This window comes from Homo sapiens, chromosome 12 (assembly GCF_000001405.40).
Source record: "Homo sapiens chromosome 12, GRCh38.p14 Primary Assembly".
NCBI lineage: Eukaryota > Metazoa > Chordata > Mammalia > Primates > Hominidae > Homo > Homo sapiens.
In genome coordinates, this window is record NC_000012.12 from 27,215,356 (window position 1) to 27,242,002 (window position 26,647).

Below are 26,647 nucleotides of genomic sequence, written 5' to 3' on the forward strand. Positions count from 1 at the left end.
GAGCTATGATCAGGCCACTGCACTCCAGCTTGTGTGACAGAGTGAGACCCTGTCTCAGTAATAATAATGATAATAATTAGAATCACAAGAAACAGAAGTGGCTCAGTGTTTAACTAGATCATAATTAAACATACTACCTATTATTTATTAATGTATGAAAATACTAATGAACTATATTTGTGGTGGTTTTTTTTTTTTTTTTTTGAGAGGGAGTCTCGCTCTGTCGCCCAGGCTGGAGTGCAGTGGCACAATCTCGGCTCACTGCAAGCTCCGCCTCCCGCGTTCATGCCATTCTCCTGCCTCAGCCTCCCGAGTAGCTGGGACTACAGGCGCCCGCCACCACGCCCAGCTAATTTTTGTATTTTTAGTAGAGACGGGGTTTCACTGTGTTAGCCAGGGTGGTCTCAATCTCCTGACCTCGTGATCCGCCCGCCTCTGCCTCCCAAAATGCTGGGATTACAGGTGTGAGCCACCGCGCCCGGCCTATATTTGTTAAACATACATATGACCACCTCTAAAATGCATACATCAGGGAGAACTGACCTCAGGGTATTTTGGGGCCCAGTGTTCTGGGCCCCATAATCACATCACATAATCTCATTGGCTATTTGAGAGGATTGAATGAGTTAAAAATTTATAAAGTATGTAGCACAGTGCCTGGCATGCAGAAGCCTGGTTTTTGTGTTGTTATTAATTTACATTTGTGGGCTGGGCATGGTGGCTCATGCCTGTAATCCCAGAACTTTGGGAGGCCTAGGTGGGCAGATCACCTGAGGTCAGGAGTTCAAGACCAGCCTGACCAACACAGTGAAACCCCATATCTACTAAAAATACAAAAATTAGCTGGATGCAGTGGTCCATACCTGTAGTCCCAGCTACTTGGGAGGCTGAGGCTGGAGAATGGTTTGAACCTGGATGGTAGAGGTTGCAGTGAGCCGAGATCACGCCACTGCACTCCAGCCTGGGCAACAGAGCAAGACTGCGTCTAAAAAAAAAATTATGTTGGTGTAGCATTTTGCAGTAATTATCTTATTTGATTTTACAACATCCTGTGAAGAAAGTAAGACAAGTCATATTACCCTCTTTACAAATAAAGTTTTTCAGTACAGTGTCTACAATTCAAATTTTCTTATTTCTAGTTCAAAACCTTTCTACTGCCCCATGCATGGGGAGCTGCCTGGTTTTGAATTCGTTAGGAATAAAGTTTACAAGTAAAGTTTTTCAGTGCACTGTCTACAATTTAAATTTTCTTATTTCTAGTTCAAATCCCTTTCTCCTACCCCATGCATGGGTAGCTGCCTGGCTTCCCTTGTTCAGTAATTTAAAGGTTGAGTGTCTCACCTTCTCACTGGGAACTCTCAGATGACAACAAAGTAAAAATTTGGAATTCTCATACTCTAATAGAAAAATAACCTCTTAGCTTGAATTATATACAGTACTGGGCTTTGCAGTTTTCCAGACAAATCAATATGTGTATTGTACAATTCATAAATATTTGCTTTTTGTTTTGTATGAATTTTTTTTCACATACTGATTGTTTTATTTCTCATGAGTCAAACCCTTATGGGAGAAGGAATAAACAGGTAAACTGGATGTCACTCCCAATCCCTTCACTGCAGGAGGTTGATTTATCCCATTCAGCTGCATAGGTGGGTATTACCATCCTCCTTTTCTTCTTAAGCACATCTTTTATCTTTATATAAATAAAATGTGTATAATTTGCATTAAAAATATACATATATAAAAGGCTTATGTAAGTATTGTGTGCATTTATATATATATTATATATATATACACACACACACATAAATGTTAATAAATAGTTGGTAACCTGCTCTGTACATTGCTCTATAACCTGCTATATTTGCTTAACAACATATCACGAACATTTTCTTATGTCCTGTGAATTCGTTAGGTTAGCATTCCTAGCTAATTTATAGGACATAAGAAAATGCCCTGTGAACTTGATATAAAGCTTAAACAAGTAAGGGAGTTATGTGTTGCACAAATAAGAAATCCAGAGGTAAGCAGTCAAGGCTGGTATGATCCCTTCACAGTGCCTACCAGGACTCAGGCTCCTTCCATGTTCCTACTCTGCTATCATAGCAGATGGTCTTAGACCTTGCACTTGTTACCTCATTGTCACAAGACGGCTGCTCTACCACTCAAAATGCATTTGTATTCCAGGTAAAAAAAGAAGGGAAAATGCAAAGAGCAAAACAGCACATGTCAGCTGAGAAAGCTTTTGATAAAAGAACTTTCCTCACATCCCATCCAACAACTTCTACTTACATCTCACTGGCCAGAACGGTGGCTCATTGATACTTGGTTGGTAAACTGGGGAGAGACCAGTTATGCAATCCTCTCTTCTAATGTTGAATAATGCAGAGGTTCTTTGGATGGTGTAAAGTCTCATTCAAAATCAAAATTCTCCAAGGAAAACTTAAATGAGCAGAGTAAGCAATTTAGGAGCTATAGGTTTGGTCATTTAGGATGTTTATTGTTCTCTATTTTGCTGAAGTAGTTTCCTCTAATCTGAGTGTTACGAATACTATTGAGAAAAATTCCCTGTCTCTAGCAGCATGGAAATGCATTCAGCTTTCTACAGATACAGTCAAGAGTAATTATGAAGTTTAGAAAAGATACCCTGAATCGCTCCCTGTGCTGATATCTGGGCCTGTACTTTCTTCATGGAGCTGGCTGGTTGATTAATTCTGAAAAAGTCAGCAGTGTGCATACAGATAAAGCCTCAAAATATGGAAATAAGACATAATAGAGAATACATTTGGGTTTCAGCTAATCTTAAAATACTGGTGAATAATTTATTCTTCTAAATACTCTGCTTAAAGTCTAACCGATGATTGCTATTTATCAGTAATTAGACTCTCCATTTCAGCTCCTTTTCTCACAGACAGAAATAGCATGATCAGTTTTAAATTGGCAGGGAGGAATTAAAGGCTTTTCAATAATGTTTTTAATTTTTAAAAAGACACATTTACTGTAGAAAATAGAGAAAAGTACCAGAATGATGAAAATTATCCCTAATTTCAACAACTAGAAGTAATCAACATTGTAAAGTATATTATTTCACTCTTTCATAACATTTACATGTTATGTTTTAAATAGATAAAATGTATATAATATGCATAAAATGTATATAAAAAGATATGTGTGTGTGTGTGTGTGTGTATGTACACACACACACACACACAAATTGGGATCATGATTCGCATACTGTTGTTGTGCCTAACAAGATACCTTGAACATTTTTTCATGTCGCTGAGTTTTCCTCTATAATACTTTTCAAAGGCCACATAGTGTTCTGTTGAATCCAGGTACCAATTTATTCAAGAAATCCCTTACTATTAAACATTCCAATTCTTTCTAGATTGTATTATTTGAGACAAGGTCTCACTGTCACCCAGGCTGGAGTGCAGTGGCGTGATCATGGCTCACTGCAGCCTCAACCTCCCTGGCTCAGGTGATCCTCCCACCTCAGCCTCCTGAGTAGCTGGGACTACAGGCATGTGCCACGAAGCTTGACTAATTTTTTAATTTTTTTTTTTTTTGTAGTGCAGGGGTATCCCTATGTTGCCTGGCTGGTCTTGAACTCCTGGGCCCCAGTGATCCACCCATCTCAGCCTCCTAAAATGCTGGGATTACAGGCGTGAGCCACCATGTTCAGCCAATTTTTATTATTATACATAATTCTGTGAGGAATAACTGCATAACTCTCTCACACTTCTGATTATTTCTTAAGGGTAAATATTCATAGACGAGAATGAACATTGTATTTTGATATCACTTGTTTCTGCCTGCCTAGAGTTTCTTCTCATTTTCACATGATAGAACTGACCTCCTACCTCACTCTCTCATTGCCTTTTAGTATCTGCCTCTCCCACAACTGGTAAAATGTTTCATCACATGGCTGGGACTGATCAGAGTGCCCTGTCTCCTACCACTCCAGGCACAGTGACTGGTCCAGGAGTGAGCATATGATCTAAGTAGGGCCAATAAGAGGGAAATTTTCTAGGTCTGATAATAACTCTTGGATGAAAACATCTCTTTCCTTCTGAAATTCTTAAATGGCACCAAAAATCATTTAAGGTTGGGACTGATGAGGGCCCTCTTGATGCCAACATGGAAGAAAGCAGAGCTAAATAATGAAGTGACAAAGGGGGATTCCTACTGACATCTTTTTTCTCTTTCTTTCTTTCTTTTTTTTTTGAGACAAGGTCTCACTGTCACCCAGGCTGGAGTGCAGTGACGCGTTCATGGTTCACTGCAGCCTCAAACTCTTGGGTTCAAGCCATTCTCCTGCTTCAGCCTCCCCAGTGGCTGTGATTACAGGTGTGCACGTCCATGCCTGGCTAATTTATTTTTATTTTTGTAGAGATAGGGTTTCACTATGTTGCCCCAGCTCGTCTGGAACTCCTGGCCTCAAGCGATCCTCCTGCTTCAGGCTTCCAAAGTGCTGGGATTAGAGGTGTCAGCCACTGCGCCCAGCCTGATGCCATCATTTCAGTTCCTGGTCTCAGCCATGACCGAAGCAAGGTGCTTCCCTAGACTTGTCCAATTATTTGACCTAATAAATTTCCCTGTTTATTTAAACTAATCTGAACTGGCTTTCTGTCTTTGGCAATCAAGGCTCTTGACTAATGTAACTATTGTTAAGGTTTTGATATGTATTTCCAAATTACCTCCCAGAACTACATTGCCAAATACACATGTGGAATGTGGAATTTTAAATTGAATTAATGTTAATATTGCTGCAATGTATCAGTGTAGAATTACAGTATGAGTCAATCTATCTTTTTTTCGTATTTCCATACCCTCATGAGTAAAGCAAAACATCTCAAACAAATCATCACACTCAAGTAAGTAAAGGTGGAGACTGTGATGAATAGAGATCAAGCTAGGTTTATATTATGCCCAGACATCAGGCTGAGTACAAGCCCTTGCTGTCAGGGAGGGGGAAATAAGGTCCATGTACCCTGTAGCCAGTTACACAGTGTGTCTCTAATACCTTTACTTTCTTCCCACATGCAGAAGTGAAAGTTAAGAGAAGTCTGAAGAAGGAGTCAGTTCCAAGAAAGGAGTTAAATTATTCAAGAGTAAGTTGTCAACTTCAAGTCAGTGAGCCAAGGCAGAGTAGTTCATAAAGAAACTGTGACTAGACTAGGTGGTACTCAGTTTCTGAGACAGATTTCTGAGCCAGGCCTGTGGGCAGCTGTACGAGGAGATGGGTTGGGGAGGGGTGATTTTAAAAGGATGCTAAATAACACTGGCAAAACCAAATCAACTCCACACACCAGTGAGATGAACTGGAAAACAGTGTTCATTACTCCAGTTTTTCTATCAACTCCTTATGTAGCTGTGGAGCTAAAAACTGGCTCCAGTCTCACTGAGGTAGACACTATCCTTTTTTTATTTTTTTTAATGGAGACAGAGTCTCGTTGTGTCGCCCAGGCTGGAATGCAGTGGTGCAATCTCTGCAACCTCCACCTCCCAGGCTGAAGCAATTCTCATGCCTCAGCCTCCTGAGTAGCTGGGACTACAGACACACACCACCATGCCTGGCTAATTTTTGTATTTTTTAGTAGAGATGGAGTTTCAGCATGTTGGCCAGGCTGGTCTCAAACTCCTGACCTCAAGTGATCCACTGGCCTCAGCCTCCCAAATTGTTGGCATTACAGGCATGAGCCACCACGCCCAGCAGCACTATTCTTTTAAATAAAATTTGTACGATGCTATTGATTTGGACTGGGCCTCTACAGATCAAACCAAAATGGAGTCACTCATGCTAAAGTTTCATGTCACCAAACAGAAACTAAGTCATCTACCTTTCAAGAAACTAAGGGGGAGAGAGAGAAAGAGGGAAAGACAGCATAGCCAAATCCCCTAACAGGCCAGTTTTAGCTGGCATGATAAAGGAGTACCCCCTGCTTTAATCCGATAAGGAAAGTAACTTTGAAATGACCGATTCACTTTTTGTTCCTTATTTCTGCTTTTTTTTAACCCCTTTTCTGCCTATAAAGCCCACCTCTTCTGCTTAGCTCATCAGATCACCTTTTCTAAATTTTTTATTTTATTGATTGATTGATTTTGGGTAGAGATGGGGGTCTCTCTCTGTTACACAGGCTGTTCTCAAACTTCTGGGATCAAGTGATCCTCCTGCCTTGGCCTCCCAAAGTGTTGGGATTACAGGCATGAGCCATGGTGCCCAGCCACCTTTTCTAAATTTTTATGGGAGATAGTACCCTGATCCATTCATCACAAATAAAAGCCAATTAGATCACTTAACTACATTTGTTGTAATTTTGTCTTTTGACAGTTCTCAAAAGGAAATGAAAACAACACTTTATTAGCAGCAGCGCATCTAAAATGGATATTTTTGAGATGCACCTGTGCACTCTTGGTCAGTTGAAACTTCTGAGTCAACAGTAGGTGGCCTAGTGCTGTTTCCCGAGAATGAGTGGTTTAACTCACCCTTTCATATACCTCTCAAAATGATTTCTTGTTCTTAAAATTACGAATAAACAAAACTGAAGTGAGAAGATGAGCTTCAGAAAAATGGGAACTGATCATTAAACTTTTTTTAGAACATTTCCTGTTCTTCAGCTAGTAGAAGTGGATTATTTTAAAAATCTGTTTCTACTTAGACTTTTTATTGATTAAAAAATAATACATTTCTCCATATCCTGACCAAATCAATGTTGAATACACATTGGTAGGATATTGCTTGTAGGGGCTGCTTGACTTGGCCCAGGCTTGCTGGGTGGTTGGACGTGAAGGGTAGGATAAAGCCGCAAAGATCTCCCCACCCCCCAGCCCCAGATTGCTTAACTGAAGAGACTTTGGAGACCAGCTGGGTAGCCAGGATTGCAGAAGAACAAACTTGAGGACCAGCCAGTTCTGCATTAGAAATTTTGGAGGCATTGTCCAGAGCCCTGAGAATGAGAGAAGATCTCCAACCATCCACGGCTGTTTGGGCAAAGAAAGCATCGGGGAAAGGGAGGTAGGACTCAATAGCTGAGAATCAGGCAAAAAAAATCGGGAAAGTGGGTAATTATCTTATTCCCCACTATCTCTCCTTTCCACTGGCCACCCTTCCAGGTATCCTGTGATCTGAATTCCAGCTCTGCTCAGTTCAGCCTGGGGAATCAGAAGAAAAATTGTCTCTGTCCACAAATCCCTTTCCCCTACCTCTGCTGCTTCAGTGACAAAAACTGAAAGAAGAAATTGGTGTAACAAAACTTTAAAATTTGTATATTTAGAAAATCTGAAAGAATCAACAAGGAGAACTCCTGGAACTAGTGCAGGATATGGTTAACATCCAAAAGTCAATTGCAACCAAGTGCAGTGGCTCACGCCTATAATCCCAGCAGTTTTAGGAGGCTGAGGTGGTAAACTGCTTTAGCCCAGGAGTTCGAGACCAGCCTGGGCAACATGGTGAAACCATGTCTCTACAAAAAATAGAAAAATTAGCCGGGCACTGTGGCATGTGCCTGTAGTCTCAGCTATTTGGGAGGTTGAGGTGGGAGGATCACTTGAGCTTGGGAGGTCAAGGCTGCAGTGAGCCATGACCATGCCACTGTGCTCCAGCCTGGGTGACAGAGTAAGACCCTGTCTCCAAAAAAAAAAAAAAAAAAAAGTCAATTGCTTTCTCATATACCAGCAATGAACAAATGAAATTTGAAATAAAAACCACAATACCATTTACATCAGCATTCCCCAAAATGAAATTGGTAGAAATCTAATAATATATGAAGAAGTTCTAGATAATGAAGAGTATAAAACTCTGATAAGAAAAATTTAAAAAGATCTAAATGATTGGAAAGATATTCCATGTTCATGGACAGGAAGACTTATCTGGTCAAGATTTCAATTCTTCCCAACTTGATCTATAGATTTAATGCATTCTCAATAAAAAGCCCAGCAATATATTTTGTGAACATGAACAAACTGATTTTAAAGTTTATAGGAAGGGAAAAAGACCCAGAATAGCCAACACAATATTGAAGAAGAAGAACGAAGTCAGAGGACCAACACTATACCATAACAAAGACAGTGTGATAGTGGTGAAAGAATAGACAGATAGATCAATGGAACAGAATAGAGAAGCCAGAAATAATTTACATAAATATAATAAAACTGATCTTTGACAAAGTAACAAGGCAATAAAATAGAGAAAAAGAGAAACTTTTCAACAAAAGGTGCTGGAACAATGGAACATCCAAATGGAAAACAAAAATTGAATCTAGACACAGACTTTACACCCTTCACAAAAATTAATTCAGAATGGATCATAGACCTATATGTAAAATGTGAAACTATTAAAATCTCCTAGATAATAACCCTGGAAAAAAATCTAGATGACCTTGGGTATGGCAATGACTTTTAAAATACAATACTAAAGTCATGATCCATGAAATAAGAAGTTGGTAAGCTAAACTTCATTAAAATTTACAACTTCTGCTCTGCAAGAGAATGAGAAGATAAGCCACAGATGGAAGAAAATATTTGCAAATGACATATGTGATAAAGGACTGTTATCTAAAATATACAAAGAACTCTTAAAACTCAACAATTAAAAATGAACAACCTGATTAAAAAATGGGCAAAAAACCTTAACAGAGACCTCACCAAAGACCATACAGAGATGACAAGTATATGAAAAGATGCTCGATATAATATCATATGCCATTAGAAAAATGCAAACTACTAAATGCAAAGTGGCTGCACCACTTTGCAAGATAGTGTGGCAGTTTTTTTTACAAAATCAAACATACTCTTACCATATGATCCAGCAGTTACCTTCCTTGGTATTTACCTAAATAAGTTGAAAAGTTATGTCCACACAAAAACCTGTCCATGGCTATTTACAGCACCTTTATTCATAAATGCCAAGACTTGGAAACAACAAAGATGTCCTTCAGTAGAGGAATGGATACATAAACTGTGGGACATCCAAACAATAGAATATTTTTCGGTGCTAAAAGAAATGAGCTATTAAGGCATTAAAATATATGGAAGAACCTTAAATCCATGTCACTGAGTGAAAAAGCCAGTTTGAAAGGCTACATACTGTATGGTTCCAACTATATCACATTCTGGAAAAATACAAAAATTATGGAGATAGTAAAACAATCAGTGTTTGCCAGAGGTTAGCAGGGAGGTAGGGATGACTAGGCAGAACACATAATATTTTCAGGGCAGTGAAACTGTTTTGTATAATATTATAATAGTGGACACATGTCATCATACATTTTTCAAAACCCATTGAATGAACAGCACCAAGAGTGAACCTTAGTGTAAACTATGGACTTTTAGTGATAATGATGTGTCAATGTAGGCTCATCGATTATAACAAATATGTCATTCTGGTGCTAGATGTTGACAGTTGGGGAGGCTATGTGTGGGGAGGTAGGGGGTATCTGGGAACTCTCTGTACTTTCCATTCAATTTTGCTGTGAACCTAAAACTGCTCTAAAAAATGAAGCCTATTAAAGATGTATTAGCTAAAAAAAAGGGTATAAGTGATGAGTCAGTGAAAGGCAGATAAAAGCATTGAGTAGCAAAGGCTCATTTTCATCAATACTGCCCCATTAAGAAGAGTTTGCTTTCTTCTCTGACATCTTCCATTCCCCACTCCGTTCCTACTTCCACCCTTTTAAGCATTCAGTCACTTTGTAGTCCCCATGCATTTATTTTGTCAAAGTCTGATCTTACGTTAGTATTTCCATATTTTAGGATGGATACACTTTACAGCCTAGACCATAGACCATCCATGCTGAGACAGTTAGAGAGTGATGGGCTTATTCCTAGGTGGGAACAGTTCTATGTGTCTGGTTCCTACCTGTTTGCTCCCAGACTTTCCTGTCCCCTCTCCTTTTTTTCTGTCCCCAGCTCATGGGTACTCTGGATCTAGAATCCTTGCCTTGGACCCACAGTAGAATTGACATGCTGGGCTAGACTGCCCTGGCCTGGCCATTGCCAGTCTTAAGCCTCCAAGTTTCTTTTGCCCTTGGCAACTCCCAGACATATAAGCCCGGCCTTTTTGGTGGGAATGGGGGTTCAAGAGAGACATCTAGAGCTTCTTTTTTCCTTATCAGTTACACTCCACTTCAGAGGTCTAGACCAACTCCCAGTGTGAGTTGCTTCTGGAAGGTTTCTCATTGAACATGTCATAGGTTACAGGTGGTTATGAGACAAAGATGGCTTTAACACATGTTAAACCATTTAGAAACTTAAAAATTTTTATAGCGTTTGAAATTATTTTTGTATTTTTATAGGTAATAATCATACAAAGAAAATAACATATTTTCTTTTTTTTTTTTTTTTTTTTTTTTGAGACAGAGTTTTGCTCTTGTTGCCCAGGCTGGAGTGCAATGGCATGAGCTGGGCTCACTGCAACCTCTGCCTCCCAGGTTCAAGTGATTCTCCTGCCTCAGCCTCCCAAGTAGCTAGGATTACAGGTGCCTGCCACTACTTCCAGCTAATTTTTTGTATTTTTAGTAGAGATGGGGTTTCACCATATTGGCCACGCTGGTCTCGAACTCCTGACCTCTGGTGATCCACCCGCCTCGGCCTCCCAAAGTGCTGGGATTACAGGCCCGAGCTCTATATTTTCTCCAAGTCTTACATAGTTTCTCCCAAATGCCTTTCAGGTTACAAGTGGAGTAAGAGGAACTGAATTACTTCCTGGATGTCAGTACACTTGAGTTTAATCTCAGTTACTCAATAGATGGTGACTGAGGTTATTCATGACTTAATTCCTTCAGATCTTCCTCGCGTATAGGAAGAAGGGAGAAGGACCAGATTGTCATCTGGTCAAGTCTTCTCCAGCCTTAAAATTTTATGATTTCTGTATGTTAAATGCAAATACAGATGGTGACTGTTTGATCCAGCCCAGTTTCCTCCTATATCATGTTTCTCTCAAAGTGAAACCTAAAATCTTGAAAAAGCTTCCTATAAAAGGCCACACTTCAGATTTCATCAACTCCCAAAGCAGACTGTCTATGGATCAGAAATTCTCATCTTGAAGTGGGGCAAGTCCTCACTTGTACACATGTTCTTTCCACTCAAATGCAGACACTGTTCTTGTGGAAAGAGTAGAGGTCAGCCAGCCAGAGGCCCCATTCCGAGGGGATTGAAAGGTCTCCCAAGGCAACCACTCCCAAAGGCGGGTTGAGTTTCTGTGAGCTGTTTCCTGCCTGAACAAACAGCCCCTCCCAAGCCCTCAAGGCTGAACTGGTTCAGGGACCACCCTTTGGGATTCTAGTCTTTTGCAGTAGCCAGTGAGTCTTGAACAAAAATAAATGTGAAAAACATAGTCCTTGGGGTTTGACCCCATGACAGATCCAGAACCAACATGGCTTTTTTTTTTTCTTTTCAGTCTGGTAATAAATAACTTGAGCCTGTGCCAAACCCGGAACACATTCCCTGGTCTATCCTGGTTCAAACGTGTCAGTGTGAGACAGACAGGAATAGGACAGGCCATGGGGAAACAGGAGCCAAGACTATTCGTTAAAGTCTGGTCCTTGGCCAAACCATGAGGTTGTTTGCCTAGAGTCCTCCTAGTTAGTTCCCTGTGGAACTGTCTTCTCACCTCCCTTTTTGATGCTTTCTACTCTCTTGGCAAACCAGCCCCTTCCTCTATCTCAGCTACCTAACAAGGATGCCCTATGTTCAGATAAGGATCAAGGTTGGAAAGGGTTTGATTAATTCAAACAAGTTTGGAGCAAATGAGAATTTAAGATGTAATTCCTCTCAAGAGAACTCTATTCATGGAGCATTCTAAAATATTGTAAATCCTTCAACAAAATCTATAATAATGGAATTTCATACCTGTAGGAGAGAGAAATTTGGCTGGAACACTCTTCTATTGCCCTCAAATCATACTGTGCTTTGTAATTTAAAGAAATATGAATTTAATGCCAACAACGTGCAGACACCGTTTTTTTTGTTTTGTTTTTTGAGACAAGGTCTCACTCTGTCACCCAGGCTGGACTGTAACCTCCACCTCCCAGGCCCAAGCGATTCTCTTACCTCAGCCTCCTGAGTATCTAGGACTATAGCTGCGTGCCACCATGCCCAGCTAATTTTTAAAGTTTTTGTATAGATAGGGTTTTACCATGTTGCCCAGGCTGGTCTTGAACTCCTGGGCTCAAGCAATCCTCCTGTCTAGGCTTCCCAAATTGCTGGGATTACAAGTATGAGCCACTGCACCCAGCTGACACTGTTTTATCTATACATTACAAAGATTAACTTATTTACTGCTTAAAGCCATATGAGGTAGGTACTTTTATGACCCCCATTTTACAGGAAACTGAGGAACAGAGAAGTAAAGTATCTTTCCCAAGGTCACACAGTTAGTGAGAGGCAAAGCTGGGATTCAAATTCACAGAGTCTGCTTCCAGAGGCCATGCTCCTAACTACTGTGCTATTCCGCTAGCTCTGTTTAATGCTTCTTCACTCCCATCCTCCTACATTCATGTATAGACACTTCAGGGTGGATCTTTTAGAAGTAGATCATTTTGGCCGGGCGCAGTGGCTCACGCCTGTAATCCCAGCACTTTGGGAGGCCAAGGCGGGTCGATCACCTGAGGTCGGGAGTTTGAGACCAGCCTGACCAACGTGGAGAAACCCCGTCTCTACTGAAAATACAAAATTAGCCAGGTGTGGTTGCACATGCCTGTAATCCCAGCTACCTGGGAGGCTGAGGCAGGAGAATCACTTGAACCCGGGAGGCAGAGGTTGTGGTGAGCCACGATCATGCCATTGCACTGCAGCTTGGGCAACAAGAGTGAAACTCTGTCCCAAAAAAAAAAAAAAAAAAAGAAGTAGATCATTTTATTTCACTTGGACCTATTGCTGGATCATAAAAGAAAATCTTGACTTCATGTAGACAAATAGATTTGGTGGGTCTAGATTTATTTATTGATTGATTGATATACACAAAATTAAATTATTTTGAGACAGAGTCTAGCTCTGTTGCCCAGGCTGGAGTGCAGTGGTGCAATCTCAGTTCACTGCAACCTCCATCTCCCAGGTTCAAATGATTCTCGTGCCTCAGCCTCCCGAGTAGCTGGGATTACAGGTGTGTGCCACCATGCCTGGCTAATGTTTTTGTATTTTTAATAGAGGCAGAGTTTCACCATGTTGGCCAGGCTGGTCTCGAACTCCCAGCCTCAAGTTATCCACCCACCTCGGCCTCCCTAAATGTTGAGATTACAGGTGTGAGCCATTGTTCCTGGCCTAAAATGTTTTTAAAGTCAAACTAATATATGTGCTATTAAAAAACATTAAAGACTCAAGGGCTTATAACAACAAGTAATAATCCTCTGCCCCTCACTTTTCTTCTCTGGCCCTCTCTCCAGAGGCCAGAACTTGTAATTCCAATGGTTACCTCCACTTCTGTAAATAATATGCTTATACTTACGTTTTTGATTGATTGATCAACTTCAGACATTATCTACTGACTTCCTGCTATGATCATTGAGAATTTAGTTCCCTTCCAAAACTATACTCACCTTTCTCCTCTCCTGCCAATATATTTAACTAAACATTTTTAGTTCTTCGGTTGCTTACTTTTGAAATTTTAAATAATTAAACCTCTATTTCTTGTCCATTAACCTATAGATAAGATCTCCTAACTCCCTATTTCATTAATGCCTCATCCTTCTTCTTACCTTTTATGCAAACATAATGAAATCTATTTTGGTTTTATTATAGATTGATCCTAAAAGTTAAAAGTCAGTGAAAATTACTTATATTATTGTTTTCAATGGAGAGCCATGTAATGTGCTAAGATTATATTGATTTTCTTGTACAACCTTTTTTCCCTCGAGTTTCAAATGACTTTCCATTTTTTCCTTTTAATTGTTTGCCCTGATCCTTAAGACTTTCCATCATTTCAATCATACTTCTAGCTCATTAAGGCCCCCTTTTCCCATACTCTTCCATTATTCTGCTCACTTTATTCTCTTGCTCAAGACCCTCCAATGATGTCTTGTCCCAGCCAACACAGTAGAGAAGGGCCCTGCTTATTCCTCAGAGATCATCTCCTACCACACTTATTTCACTCCCAACATTCCTGCAACGGTTACTTTCTTCTCACTCTTCAAACACACAAAGCTCATTTCTATAGCTGGACCTTGCATTTGCTGTTTCCTCTTCCTGGAATACATTTCTCCCAGAGTTTCCTATCACCCAGTTAGTTCCTCATTTCACTCAGGCCTCAGCCCAAGTGTCATCCCTCAGAGAGACTGTCCTTGTCCATTCCACCTGCACCAGTACACTTCTTTCCCTGCTTTATTTTCCATCATGGCATTTATCAGTACCTACAATTAGCTCACACATGTATTTCTTTACATCTTTTCTATGTCCCTCATTGGAATGCAAGCATAATGGTGTCTCTCTTCTCTCTTACTCACTGTTGTAGCTCCAGCACCCAGAAGACTGCCTAGCATGTAGCAAGTGCACAATAAATACTTGCTGAATAAATGAAGGAATGTCTCTCTTAAACTTGCTAAATAGATGCTATCCTGGCACTTCCCTTCATTGCTTTCCTCGATAGGACCCATGGACTTCCATTTCTCCATTTTGCTAGAGAATATATTCAAATGACTTTCTAAGGAAGGATGCATTGGGAGTAAAATTTCCAAATCCTCACATATTTGACAACATCTGTATTCTGCCTCAACCTAATTGATAGTTTGCCTAGCCATAGGCTTCTGGGTTGAGACTCATTTCTCTTTGAATTTTGGCAGCTACTCTGACGTTCTTTCCTTTGATAGTGATATGTGTGTGTGTGTGTGTGTGTGTGTGTGTGTGTGTGTGTGTGTGCGTTTTAACTTGCTTTCCAGAAGCTTTTAGGGTTTATTATGCATTCTCAGTAATATACCTAGGATTTTTCTTTCTTTCCTCCCTTCCTTTCTTTCCTTCTCTCTCTCCCTTTCTTCCTTCACTCCTGCTCTGCAATCAAAGGGCTTTTTCAACTTGAAGACAGTTTGTTTTTTCATTTAGCTTTTCTATTATTTTGCTATTCTTTCTTTCTGAAATGCTCTTTAGCCACTTTGGACTTTCTGAAACTCCTTCCCTTTTCCCTCCCCTCCCCTCCCCTTCCCTTCTTCTTTCTCTTAAACTGAATGCAAGTCCATCCCTCCCTCCCTCCCTTCCTTCTTTCTCTCATGCAAGTTTACTAGGAAAGTAAAGGAATAAAAGAATGGCTACTCCATAGAGTAGCCCCAAGGGCTGCTGGTTACCCATTTTTATGGTTATTTCTTGATGATATGCTAAACAGAGGTGGATTATTCATGCCTCCCCTTTTTAGACCATATAGGGTAACTTTCTAATGTTTCCATGGCACTTGTAAACTGTCATGGCACTGGTGGGAGTGTAACAGTGAGGATGACAAGAGGTGGCCATATTGGTTTTGGTGGGTTTTAGCCAGCTTCTTTACTGCAACTTGTTTTATCAGCAAGGTCTTTATGACCTGTATCTTGTGCCAATCTCCTATCTCATCCAGTGATTTAGAACGCCTTAACCATCTGGGAATGCAGCCCAGTAGGTCTCAGCCTCATTTTACCCAGCCTCTATTCAAGATGGAGTTGCTCTGATTTAAACACCTCTGACATTTCCCCTCTCCCCACCTTTTTTTTTTTTTTTTTTTGAGACGGAGTTTCACTCTGTGGCCCAGGCTGGAGGCCAGTGGTGTGATCTCAGCTCACTGCAACCTCTGCTCCTGGGTTCAAGCAATTCTCCTGCCTCAGCGTCCCAAGTAGCTGGCATTACAGGCACCTGCCACCATACCTGGCTGATTTTTGTATTTTTAGTAGAGACGTGGTTTTGCCATGTTGGCCAGGCTGGTCTCAAACTCCTGACCTCAGGTGATCCACCCACCTCAGCCTCCCAAAGTGCTGGCATTACAGGCGTTGAGCCACCCTGCCCAGCTACTCCCTCCCTTTTCTAAGAGAACCCTTAATCCTAAGGGTTGCAGAGGAATGAAGATTCATCTTCTGTAACTTCTTCAGGCTGAATAGGGGCGATGATATTCCTGCGTAACTATTAGGGTCTCTCATATTCAAGGTAGAGAGGAACTCAGTCAGAAAACATCAGTATGGTGAGGGTCATTCGTGACTCTTGAGTTCTGACAAAAGGTAATATCTGGAAGATTAATAAGTATTCAGTTTAAGAAAATGTTGAGTAAGCTTATTCAGCTTTCCCACACAGAGTACAACAGCAATATATTCCACAAAGTAAACCAAAATAAGCAAAATTATCCCAAGTAAACTAAATTAGAAGGCTTTCCATGAACTGCGCAACTGTTGGAACCAAGCTGATATGGGGTTGCTAGCTGATTCCAGTGTGCCCAGAATTAGAATATTGATTCAGATTTTTACATTACCCACCCTTCTTGTGTCTTCCGAGCAGCAGTCAGAGATCACTGGTTGGTTCACAGGAATAAGCAGAGTTAGCCTAAATTGCAGAAACAAAATTAAAAATAACTGATGAGACTAGAATTTAATAACAAGTGTACCATAGTTCTTGAAATATAATATTTCTCTCTCCAGTTTCCCATTTTTACTAAAGACAAATCATGGTAAGACTGATTTGCTTTATTTTACTTGGCCTGATTATTTGTACAAAGTGCAGCAAGAATAATTATTTTTCACATAAGCTCTTTTTAAATTGGCTTTGATGGAACTCTGTTTCATAGAAGGAATCTTAGATAAGACATTTTTAGAGCCGAGCCCTGCCATGGGTTTGTACCCTCAAATACCTATGAGTTGAGTAAATTCCTCTCCTCTTAAGGTGAATGATCCCTTATTTCTTTACTTTCTCACCTATTTTTCACTTTTGCAAGATTTCCTTATATTACTTTCCAAGATTTTACATATTTTTTTGTCAGTTGTATTTTTAAATTCCAAGAATAAGATTTGTTTTCTGATTTTTTCTTTTCCAAAGCATATATTCCTATTTTAGGAATACAATGTACATTAATCTGCTAGGGCTTCCATAACAAAGTACCACAGACTGGGTGGACACAACAGAAACTTATTTTCTCACAATTCCAGAGACTAGAAATCTGAGATCAAGGTGTCAGAAGGGTTGGTGTCTTCCAAGGCCTCTCTCCTTAGTTCGTAGATAGCCGTCTTCACCCTGTGTCTTTATATCATCTTTTCTCTGTACATGGCTATGTTCTAATCTCTTCTTACAAAGACAGCAGTAAAATTGGATAAGGGCCCATTTTTACTTAATTATCTCTTGTTTTCCCTGCCAAATTAAAACAAATTGTGGGTACATAGTAGGTGTATATATTGGTGGGTTACGTGAGATGTTTTGATACAGGCGTGCAATATGTAATAATTACATCAGATAAATGGATATCCATCACCTCAAGCATTTATCCTTTGTGTTTCAAACAATTCAATTATATTCTCTTGTTATTTTTAAATGTACAATTAAATTATTATTGACTATAATCACCCTGTTTTGCTATCAAATACTGGTTCTTATTCATTCTTTCTATTTTTTGTACCCATTAATAATCACAATTTTCCCCTCACCATCCCCCTGCCCCAACTACCTTTCTTAGCCTCTGGTAACCCTCTACTCTCTATCTCCATGAGTTCAATTGTTTTAATTTTTTAGCTTCCCCAGATAGGTGAAAATATGTGCTGTTTGTCTTTCTGTGCCTGGATTATTTTACTTAATGTAACGATCTCCAGTTCTATCCATGTTGTTGCAAATGACAGGGTCTCATTCTTTTTTATGGCTGAATAGTACTCCATTGTGTATATGTATCACATTTTCTTTGTCCATTCATCTGTTGATGGACACTTAGGCTGCTTCCAAATCTTGGCTATTGTGAACAGTGCTGCAACAATCATGGGAGTGCAGATATCTCTTCGATATAATGATTTCCTTTCTTTTGGGCATATACCTATAATTACCTCTTTAAAGACCCTTTCTTCAAATACCGTCACATTCTGAAGTACTGAGAGTTGGGACTTCAGCTTATGAATTTGGCGGGGGGTGGGGGCGGGGGGACATGATTCCACCCATAGCACAGTGTCATCTCAATGTCTCTGAGTGTTTTATATATATCTTAAAAAAGTTCTAACCTATTCCATGCATTAGTTGTTTTCCCCAGGATCACCTTATTTATTTATTTATCTTGAATTCTCTCTTTAATGTTGTAGACTTTCATCAAAAAGCCCATTATCTATTCATATTTAAGAATGGGACAAGAGAAAGTTTAACTGTGAATATGGATGGGATTTCCAGACTTTACTAGCAGACCTTACTTCTGGAGCCAGCCAATATACTGGTTGGCCCCCAAATTCCTAAATGAAAGTGGAAACACTGTGGAAGTCTAACACATATGCTTGCTGCTCTTGTTCTCTTTCTATTAAAAAAAAAATCCTCCACTTTGTGACCAAGAAGTAAGGTTGCCAGATTTAGGGGGGAAAATGGTCAACCAGTTCAACTTGAATTTCAGACAAAAAAGAAACCATTTTATATTAATAGTAGTGTATGTTCCATGCAATACTTAGGGACACCCTTAACACTAAAAAACAGTTCATTGTGCCTATGAAATTCAAACTGAATTGAACATCTTGTATTTCATCTGACCACCTTACCACCACAAGGGGGACATGGATTGCGGGTAAGGGCCGGCTACCCGACATTCTACCAAACATGGAAGAGGCGAGTAGGAAAAGAGTGATGGTTCCACTTACAGACCTTCAAATAATCATGGATTTTCATTTCACTTCCTACCCCATGAAAATAGAACTCTAAAGAGTTCTGGCCAGCTGGTCTACTCCCTCTCAGGCCACAATCCCTCTGCATATGTGATATAATAAATAAATAAATATATATATATATATATATATATATATATATATATATATATATATATACACATATACATACACACACACACACACACACATATATACACACATATATATATTTGGTATTTGTCCCCAGAGTCTATTATTCCTCACAACGTCTCTGAGAATTCTGTTGATGTGTTTTTTGACATTTTATGTTTTTCCTAATGAACCTTTCCATGTTGAAGTTCCAAGCCCTAAAATTTAATAACTTTTATTTCTTAGTGTTATGAATTTTAAGACTGGGCTCACAAGAAGCTAGGAACAACATATAATTTTATTTGTACCACTATTTACATATTCATTTCTTCAAAAAAAAAAACAAGTTAAAAAATAGGTGGAAAATGAAAAAGCCCATGTAAATTTCACAAGTTTCACTCTTGTAGAACAGAGTATGATTTTAAGTTTACAAGTCCAGCTGACCAGTCTATAACTTTAGTTGTTTTAGAGACAGGGTCTCACTCTGTCATCCAGGCTGGAGCACAGTGGCACGAACATAGCTCTCTATAACCTTGAACTCCTGGGCTCAAGTGATCCTCTGCATTAGCCTCCTGAGTAGCTGGGACTATAGGTGCACGGTACCATGCCCGGCTAATTTTTAAGAAAATTTATGTAGAGAGAGACAGGGTCTCACTATGTTGCCTGGGCTGGTCTTAACTCCTGACCTCAAACAATCCTCCTGCCTCAGCCTCCAAAAGTGCTGGGATTACAGATGTGAGCCACCATGCCTGGCTCTTAAGGTATATAGTTAATATTTATTAATTTAACTTAAAATAAAAGCAGAAGGTATATTTAGGGTAACCAACTATTCTGGTTTGCCTGGAATTGAGGGAATTTCCAGGACACAGGATTTTCTGTGCTAAAACTAACAAAGTCACAGGCAAACTGGGAGGATTTGTTCACCCTATATATACTAGAAATATATAAATAAGTAAATAGGTTAGGCCTAATCCTAATGCTCAAATTTTTTTCTAATTTATTTTATATCCCATATAAGACATATACATTATTTGCATACATCTATCAACCATCCTTTTAATTGTTCTTTAATTGAATCAGTCTTTAAAATGAGAATATTCAATGTGTTCACAGGTGTGTTGAATTGCTTAATTAGTGCTTATAAATAGCTTTGGGATCCTTTGATGAAAACATTAAGTGATTGTAAAGATTTATAACAATATTACTTCACACTGAAGGACACAGCAGGATTCAAAGCACCTTACTGATTGAACATAGATTATTTAGATACTGTAATCCCCATGGAAATTCACTAACGGTATTTCCATCATAAGGAACTAGTTCACAACAAATTGTTCTTTTAAAAAAAAATCAAAGGGAGAATGTAAGTGAAACTGAGCCTTTGGACCTAAAGAACAAAATGCATAGGCAGGAAGGAGGTAGTTGCACAAGTCTGAAAAAAGTGGAGCCACCTGGATCTTGTAAAAAGCTATATGAAAGGGCCCTTTTAGAAAACAACATCTATTCTCCTTGTAGACATTCCAGGTAAACACATTTTTCTGTGAGGCACAATTAGTCCTAGTTACTGAAAATGTCACGTTCTCTCCATTGACAGATACTGAAGTTTTTTCATGGGGCAAAACTGGGAATATTTGAGATAAAATTAAATAATACTGCTTAAGCAGAACATCTTACCTTTTTATACTTAAATGCTGCTGTATTTCTTAAGAGCAAGGAGATTCTCTTACACCACAGAACAATGATCAAAACCAGAAAATTTATGTTAACATTATGTAACTTACAGATCTTAATCATATTTTACCAGTTGTCTCAATAATGTCTTTTCTATCAAATAATAGTAAAAAAAAAATCTAGTCAAGGGTCTAATTGGGAATTACACGTTGCATGTAGTTGTACTATGGCTTTAGTCTTTTAAAATTGGGAACAGTTTTTTGGTTGATCTTTGCTTTTCATGACATTTGCATTTTGAACAGTATAGGCCAATTAATTTGTCAAATATCCACTTTGTTTCTTCATGATTAGATTGAGGGTAAACAGGGTAATATAGAAGTGATGTGACCTTACTACGGCACATCAGGAGGCAGAATGGGGCATTCTTAAGGAGTAGTTTCATTTTTATTTTTTGTTTTTTGAGGCAGGGTCCCCTGTCACCTAGGCTGAAGTGCAGTGGTACCATCCCAGCTCACTGCAGCCTGGACCTCCTGGGCTCAAGCAGTCCTTCCACCTCAGCCTCCCAAGTAGTTGGGACTACAGATGCATGCCACCACTATAATTTTTACTTTTTTTTGTAGAGCTGTGGTCTCCCTTTGTTGCCCAGGCTGGTCTTGAACTCCTGGGCTCAAGTGATCCTCCCACTTCAGCCTCTCAAAGTGTTGAGATTACAAGCATGAGTCACCACACCCAGCCTAGAGCAGACTTTATGACTGTCTTATTGGCATCTGCAATATAACAAGCTGAAGATAGAGGAAGAAGCTTTCAGTGGGCTGGTAGCAGATGCTGTGGTGCACCACCCAAATCCACCTTCTAGGATTGCGGCTCTCATTACTACAGCAGCCGGAACTGCTGGCTTCTAAGAGTCCCCAGCCGAGTCCTTCTCCAGTTACTGCCCTCTGCCAGGTGGGCTTTCTCTCCCACATCCAATGGCTGATTGAGGTTGGGGTACAAAGGCCTGGTCCTGTGCCTCAACAGGGACAACTCTGAAGAGCCATCCCAACTCCAGAGCCCCTTGTGGGAGAGGCTGAAGCCTCTGTTGCAACTGCATTACATTTCAACTTCTTTGCCTGATCTTGCTGTCTTCTCTCTCTCACCTGAGTTGATCCAGAGAGCACTTTCCAATACATCTCCAGCACATTAATCTGAGTATTTCAGATTTCCCAGGAAAGCTGACCTAAGACTGGACCATTTTACATATGTGAGTGGGGCTTTTGATAAGCATTTCAAGTTGTAAAACAGGTCTATTTATAAACATTTTTAATATATTGAAATTTCCCAGGAAGTATACATATTAATCTTGTTATAAGAATTTTACTCCATCATAATTCTACCCTAGGAACTGTTGTAGTCTGAGAGTAACAACACAAAGATGTTAACAAGAGATTGTGTCTGGATTGCTTAGGATAGTCAGAGCTTGATTCTTAGCTTTTCATGTCCAGAAATTTAACTTTGTCAGAGGTGACCAAACTCAGAGGAACCAATACGGAGTAAGGGTAGTGTAACTGAGAGGAGAACATGTGGCAATTTGAGAGTGGGAATTTATAATGAAAAATGTAATTGCCAAGCAAATCAAAAATTTCTATTGGCTAATTGACATACTCTTACCTCATAAGAAAATCTACATGGGAAGTCAAATCAGAAATTTACTTGATGAATACAATGATTGATTTATTTGATTTTAATTGATCCAATTTATCTGATAACCTTTGTAGCATTCAGCCCTGGTAGGGCATACCACAAGTAGACCAGATATTCATTTCTGCTTGCCAAGTTACTCTTGCCCCAGACAGCTTGCAATATACAACTTAATACTTGTAAATAAAACGCCTCTGCCCAGAGCTCTGCAACAGCTTTCTATTGCTATTATATGAAGATAAATCTTAGCTGGGCATGGTGGCACACACCTGGAGTCTCAGCTACTCGGGATGCTGAGGCAGGAGGATCACTTAAGCCCAGGAGTTTGAGCCTGCAGTATGCCATAATCACACCTGTGAACAGCCACAGCACTCCAGCCTGGGTAACATGGTCAGATCTTGTCTCTATAGCAACAACAACAACAACAATTTCTTAACCTTCTCCACAAGGCCCTGTGTTGTCTAATCAGATAAAAAAAAAAATTCCTTGAAAGCCCTATTTGGGTTATTTTCTCCAGGAAATCAAATCAGCATAAAATGCATGAAGCTAACCCGCTGAAAGCAACCACCTGATTCCTGGGGAGGTTGTAGAGTATAGCAGAATGAATGAGAAGCACATCCAGTAACTTCTCCCCCACAATCCCTCTCTGTAGCTTCATAAAATAATTCAACCAAAATTATCAACACAGCACCAGCTAACACCAAGAATGATCTTGCCTGCCCCAGACTCTACTAGAATTCGCTACATTTAAACAAGCCACAGGTTTTGTAACTTACTTCCCTACATAGCCTTATCCCCAACCTTAACCCCAGAGCTGAAACGAAGAAGAGGAACATAGATTGCATGCCTGTGAAGTGGCTTTCCTGTCAAGGTCTTAGACTTTCTTTCACTGCCTAGATTAAAAATATAAACAAAACCCAGTGTGAGCAAGCATGTGGGGAAATGGGAATTTTCTTGTACTGCCTGCTGGTAGCGTGGAAACTGGTGTAACCTCTGGATGGTAGTTTGGTAACAGGCTTGGAAATGTAAAGTGTGCATTGCCTTTGAGTCACTTCTAGTAGTTTGCCCTGAAGTTCACATTCTCTAGTGGGAGGAGATAACTAAAAAGGAAGTTCAACTGTTTTAACATAGTGGAAACTGTTGCAAGTAATGGTTTAGAATTTAGAAAACCACGAATATCAAATGATCTTCGGAAACATACTTTTTCAAGAGCGACCCTCTATATGATTGTGATGTAATGTCAATTGTGAACTGAGGGATGTCAATCCATAATATCAAGAAAAATTATGCTAAAAAATCTCTAATGTGATTCAGCCTTTTTTCAGTCTAGTCAAGTCAGTTAAAAAATAAAGCAGGGATCAATTAGAAGTCACTGTTTCCAGGTTTATAAAGTAATTTGCAGAAGACAGTCTGGTGATAGCTCTGAATGGACTGTCGTGGATGATTAAATGGCCCAGTGAAAGTCCCATGCAGCTTGTAAAATAGAGTCTTCATTTTCAAACAAACTCAACTATACTTAGTTGTCTGGTCTCCGTTAGAGTCCTTTTGAAAGTCATGGCTATGAGAAGAGGAGCCAGGAGTCAAGCACTCTTAGTCTCAAACTGGAAAGGCCCATTCAGTTTTTTAAAAAATCTTGTAAACTTTCAATTTTTTTCCAAGGTAAAAACCTTACTAGGTTTTCATCAGGACAGACTTCCAGGAGAACTAAAAAGCACCTATTCTCTCTCCTTTTTAAATCTATTGGCGTAACACTGCATATCATAAACTTTTATGCTCTTTAAAATCTCCGTATCTGTAGTTGCATCTCCATTATCATTGTTACTGTTTGTGTCTTTTTGTTTTCCCTGGATTAATCTTGTCAAGCTGTTTCCTATTTCCTTTACTTTTCCAAAGAATCAGTTTTTGGTTATTGTCAATTTCAGTCATTTTTTTTTTCAAAAAAATTAATTTCTAAATTAACTAATTTAATTTCTGCCTTTATGTTTAAAATTATATTTGAAATTATTAATCATAACAGAATTTACATACATTTGAAAAACAGAGGTATATATGGGAATGATTATATATTTGATTTACATTCCTTGGTGGACATAAGGGTCATGGAGGGGCTTCTGCTCTAAGTTTTATATCCTTCTTCTTCCTTTGAATTTATTTTGTTTTCTCTTTCAGGTTTCCTGAGTTGAAAGCTTTGTTCATTTGTTTTCATTTTTGTGTTTTCTGTGAAGTGCATTTAAAACAATAAATTAGCCCTCTAAATACTGCTTTGGGTATATCTCACAGTTGCAAAATTGCATAGATGGAAAAGTTGCTTTATTCATTTGGTAGAAGGGTTTTATCAATAGCTTTCCTTCTATTATTATTTACTACTGCCATTTGGCATTCATTCTTTATTTACTATGTGGTAGGCCTAAGAGAGTAAAAGTAATATCAAAGAGTTCTTCCGATCAAGGAGCTACCACTTTCACATGGCAAAAACAAAAATCAGATAAATTGAGTGCTGAAAAGGTTTTCATCATGATTTTTCTCATCCTTTCTGGCCTACAATTTTAGCCTGTCTGCCTACATTTAGCATAAACTTGAAGAAGAGGGAATATGTGGAGGAAGGGGATACAAAGTCATATTCAGCTATAGTCTAATAAGGTTAGTAGTGGCCACAGTGTATGTTTATTACCTGAACTTTGATTCTGTATCAGATAGTTGGTGATAAGAGTTTTGGAAGTTCCTTCAAATGATCTATTACTTAGGTCAATGGTTCTTAACCTGGGTCTGTGAACCTCAATGCAAAAACCATATATATATTACATATATAACTATGTATAGTTATATAGTTATATATATTACATATATGACTATGTATAGTTGTATAGTTATATATATTACATATATGACTATGTATAGTTGTATAGTTATATATATTACATATATGACTATGTATAGTTGTATAGTTATATATATTACATATATGACTATGTATAGTTGTATAGTTATATATATTACATATATGACTATGTATAGTTGTATAGTTATATATATTACATATATGACTATGTATAGTTGTATAGTTATATATATTACATATATGACTATGTATAGTTGTATAGTTATATATATTACATATATGACTATGTATAGTTGTATAGTTATATATATTACATATATGACTATGTATAGTTGTATAGTTATATATATTACATATATGACTATGTATAGTTGTATAGTTATATATATTACATATATCACTATGTATAGTTGTATAGTTATATATATTACATATATCACTATGTATAGTTGTATAGTTATATATATTACATATATGACTATGTATAGTTATATATATTACATATATGACTATGTATAGTTATATATATTACATATATGACTATGTATAGTTATATATATTACATATATGACTGTATAGTTATATATATTACATATATGACTATGTATAGTTATATATATTACATATATGACTCTGTATAGTTATATATATTACATATATGACTCTGTATAGTTATATATATTACATATATGACTCTGTATAGTTATATATATTACATATATGACTCTGTATAGTTATATATATTACATATATGACTCTGTATAGTTATATATATTACATATATGACTCTGTATAGTTATATATATTACATATATGACTCTGTATAGTTATATATATTACATATATGACTCTGTATAGTTATATATATTACATATATGACTCTGTATAGTTATATATTACATATATGACTCTGTATAGTTATATATATTACATATATGACTCTGTATAGTTATATATATTACATATATGACTCTGTATAGTTATATATATTACATATATGACTCTGTATAGTTATATATATTACATATATGACTCTGTATAGTTATATATATTACATATATGACTCTGTATAGTTATATATATTACATATATGACTCTGTATAGTTATATATATTACATATATGACTCTGTATAGTTATATATTACATATATGACTCTGTATAGTTATATATATTACATATATGACTCTGTATAGTTATATATATTACATATATGACTCTGTATAGTTATATATATTACATATATGACTCTGTATAGTTATATATATTACATATATGACTATGTATAGTTATATATATTACATATATGACTATGTATAGTCATATAGTTATATATATTACATATATGACTATGTATAGTCATATAGTTATATATTACATATATGACTATGTATAGTTATATAGTTATATATATTACATATTATGTAATTTTTTCACTAAACTCAAACTGAAAATTAGCATTTCTTCCATCATGAATGTAGGCAGCAAACCACAGGAATATTAGCAATACCTGTGACTTTTCCTCAATAGGAATCACACATATTTTCTACCCCATTAAAGTTGTTGTAGATATCTCA

At 38.1% G+C, this 26,647-nt stretch overlaps 6 annotated features.

Annotated features, from left to right (window-relative positions):
* Positions 4,847-4,896: an enhancer, noted in NCBI's record as "active region_6136". NCBI's record gives its function as "activates an Ori minimal core promoter by ATAC-STARR-seq in GM12878 lymphoblastoid cells {active_cell/tissue: GM12878}" and the evidence as "EXISTENCE:reporter gene assay evidence [ECO:0000049][PMID:35858748]".
* Positions 5,037-5,206: an enhancer, noted in NCBI's record as "active region_6137". NCBI's record gives its function as "activates an Ori minimal core promoter by ATAC-STARR-seq in GM12878 lymphoblastoid cells {active_cell/tissue: GM12878}" and the evidence as "EXISTENCE:reporter gene assay evidence [ECO:0000049][PMID:35858748]".
* Positions 5,227-5,296: an enhancer, noted in NCBI's record as "active region_6138". NCBI's record gives its function as "activates an Ori minimal core promoter by ATAC-STARR-seq in GM12878 lymphoblastoid cells {active_cell/tissue: GM12878}" and the evidence as "EXISTENCE:reporter gene assay evidence [ECO:0000049][PMID:35858748]".
* Positions 6,956-7,025: an enhancer, noted in NCBI's record as "active region_6139". NCBI's record gives its function as "activates an Ori minimal core promoter by ATAC-STARR-seq in GM12878 lymphoblastoid cells {active_cell/tissue: GM12878}" and the evidence as "EXISTENCE:reporter gene assay evidence [ECO:0000049][PMID:35858748]".
* Positions 22,627-22,746: an enhancer, noted in NCBI's record as "active region_6140". NCBI's record gives its function as "activates an Ori minimal core promoter by ATAC-STARR-seq in GM12878 lymphoblastoid cells {active_cell/tissue: GM12878}" and the evidence as "EXISTENCE:reporter gene assay evidence [ECO:0000049][PMID:35858748]".
* Positions 22,777-22,876: an enhancer, noted in NCBI's record as "active region_6141". NCBI's record gives its function as "activates an Ori minimal core promoter by ATAC-STARR-seq in GM12878 lymphoblastoid cells {active_cell/tissue: GM12878}" and the evidence as "EXISTENCE:reporter gene assay evidence [ECO:0000049][PMID:35858748]".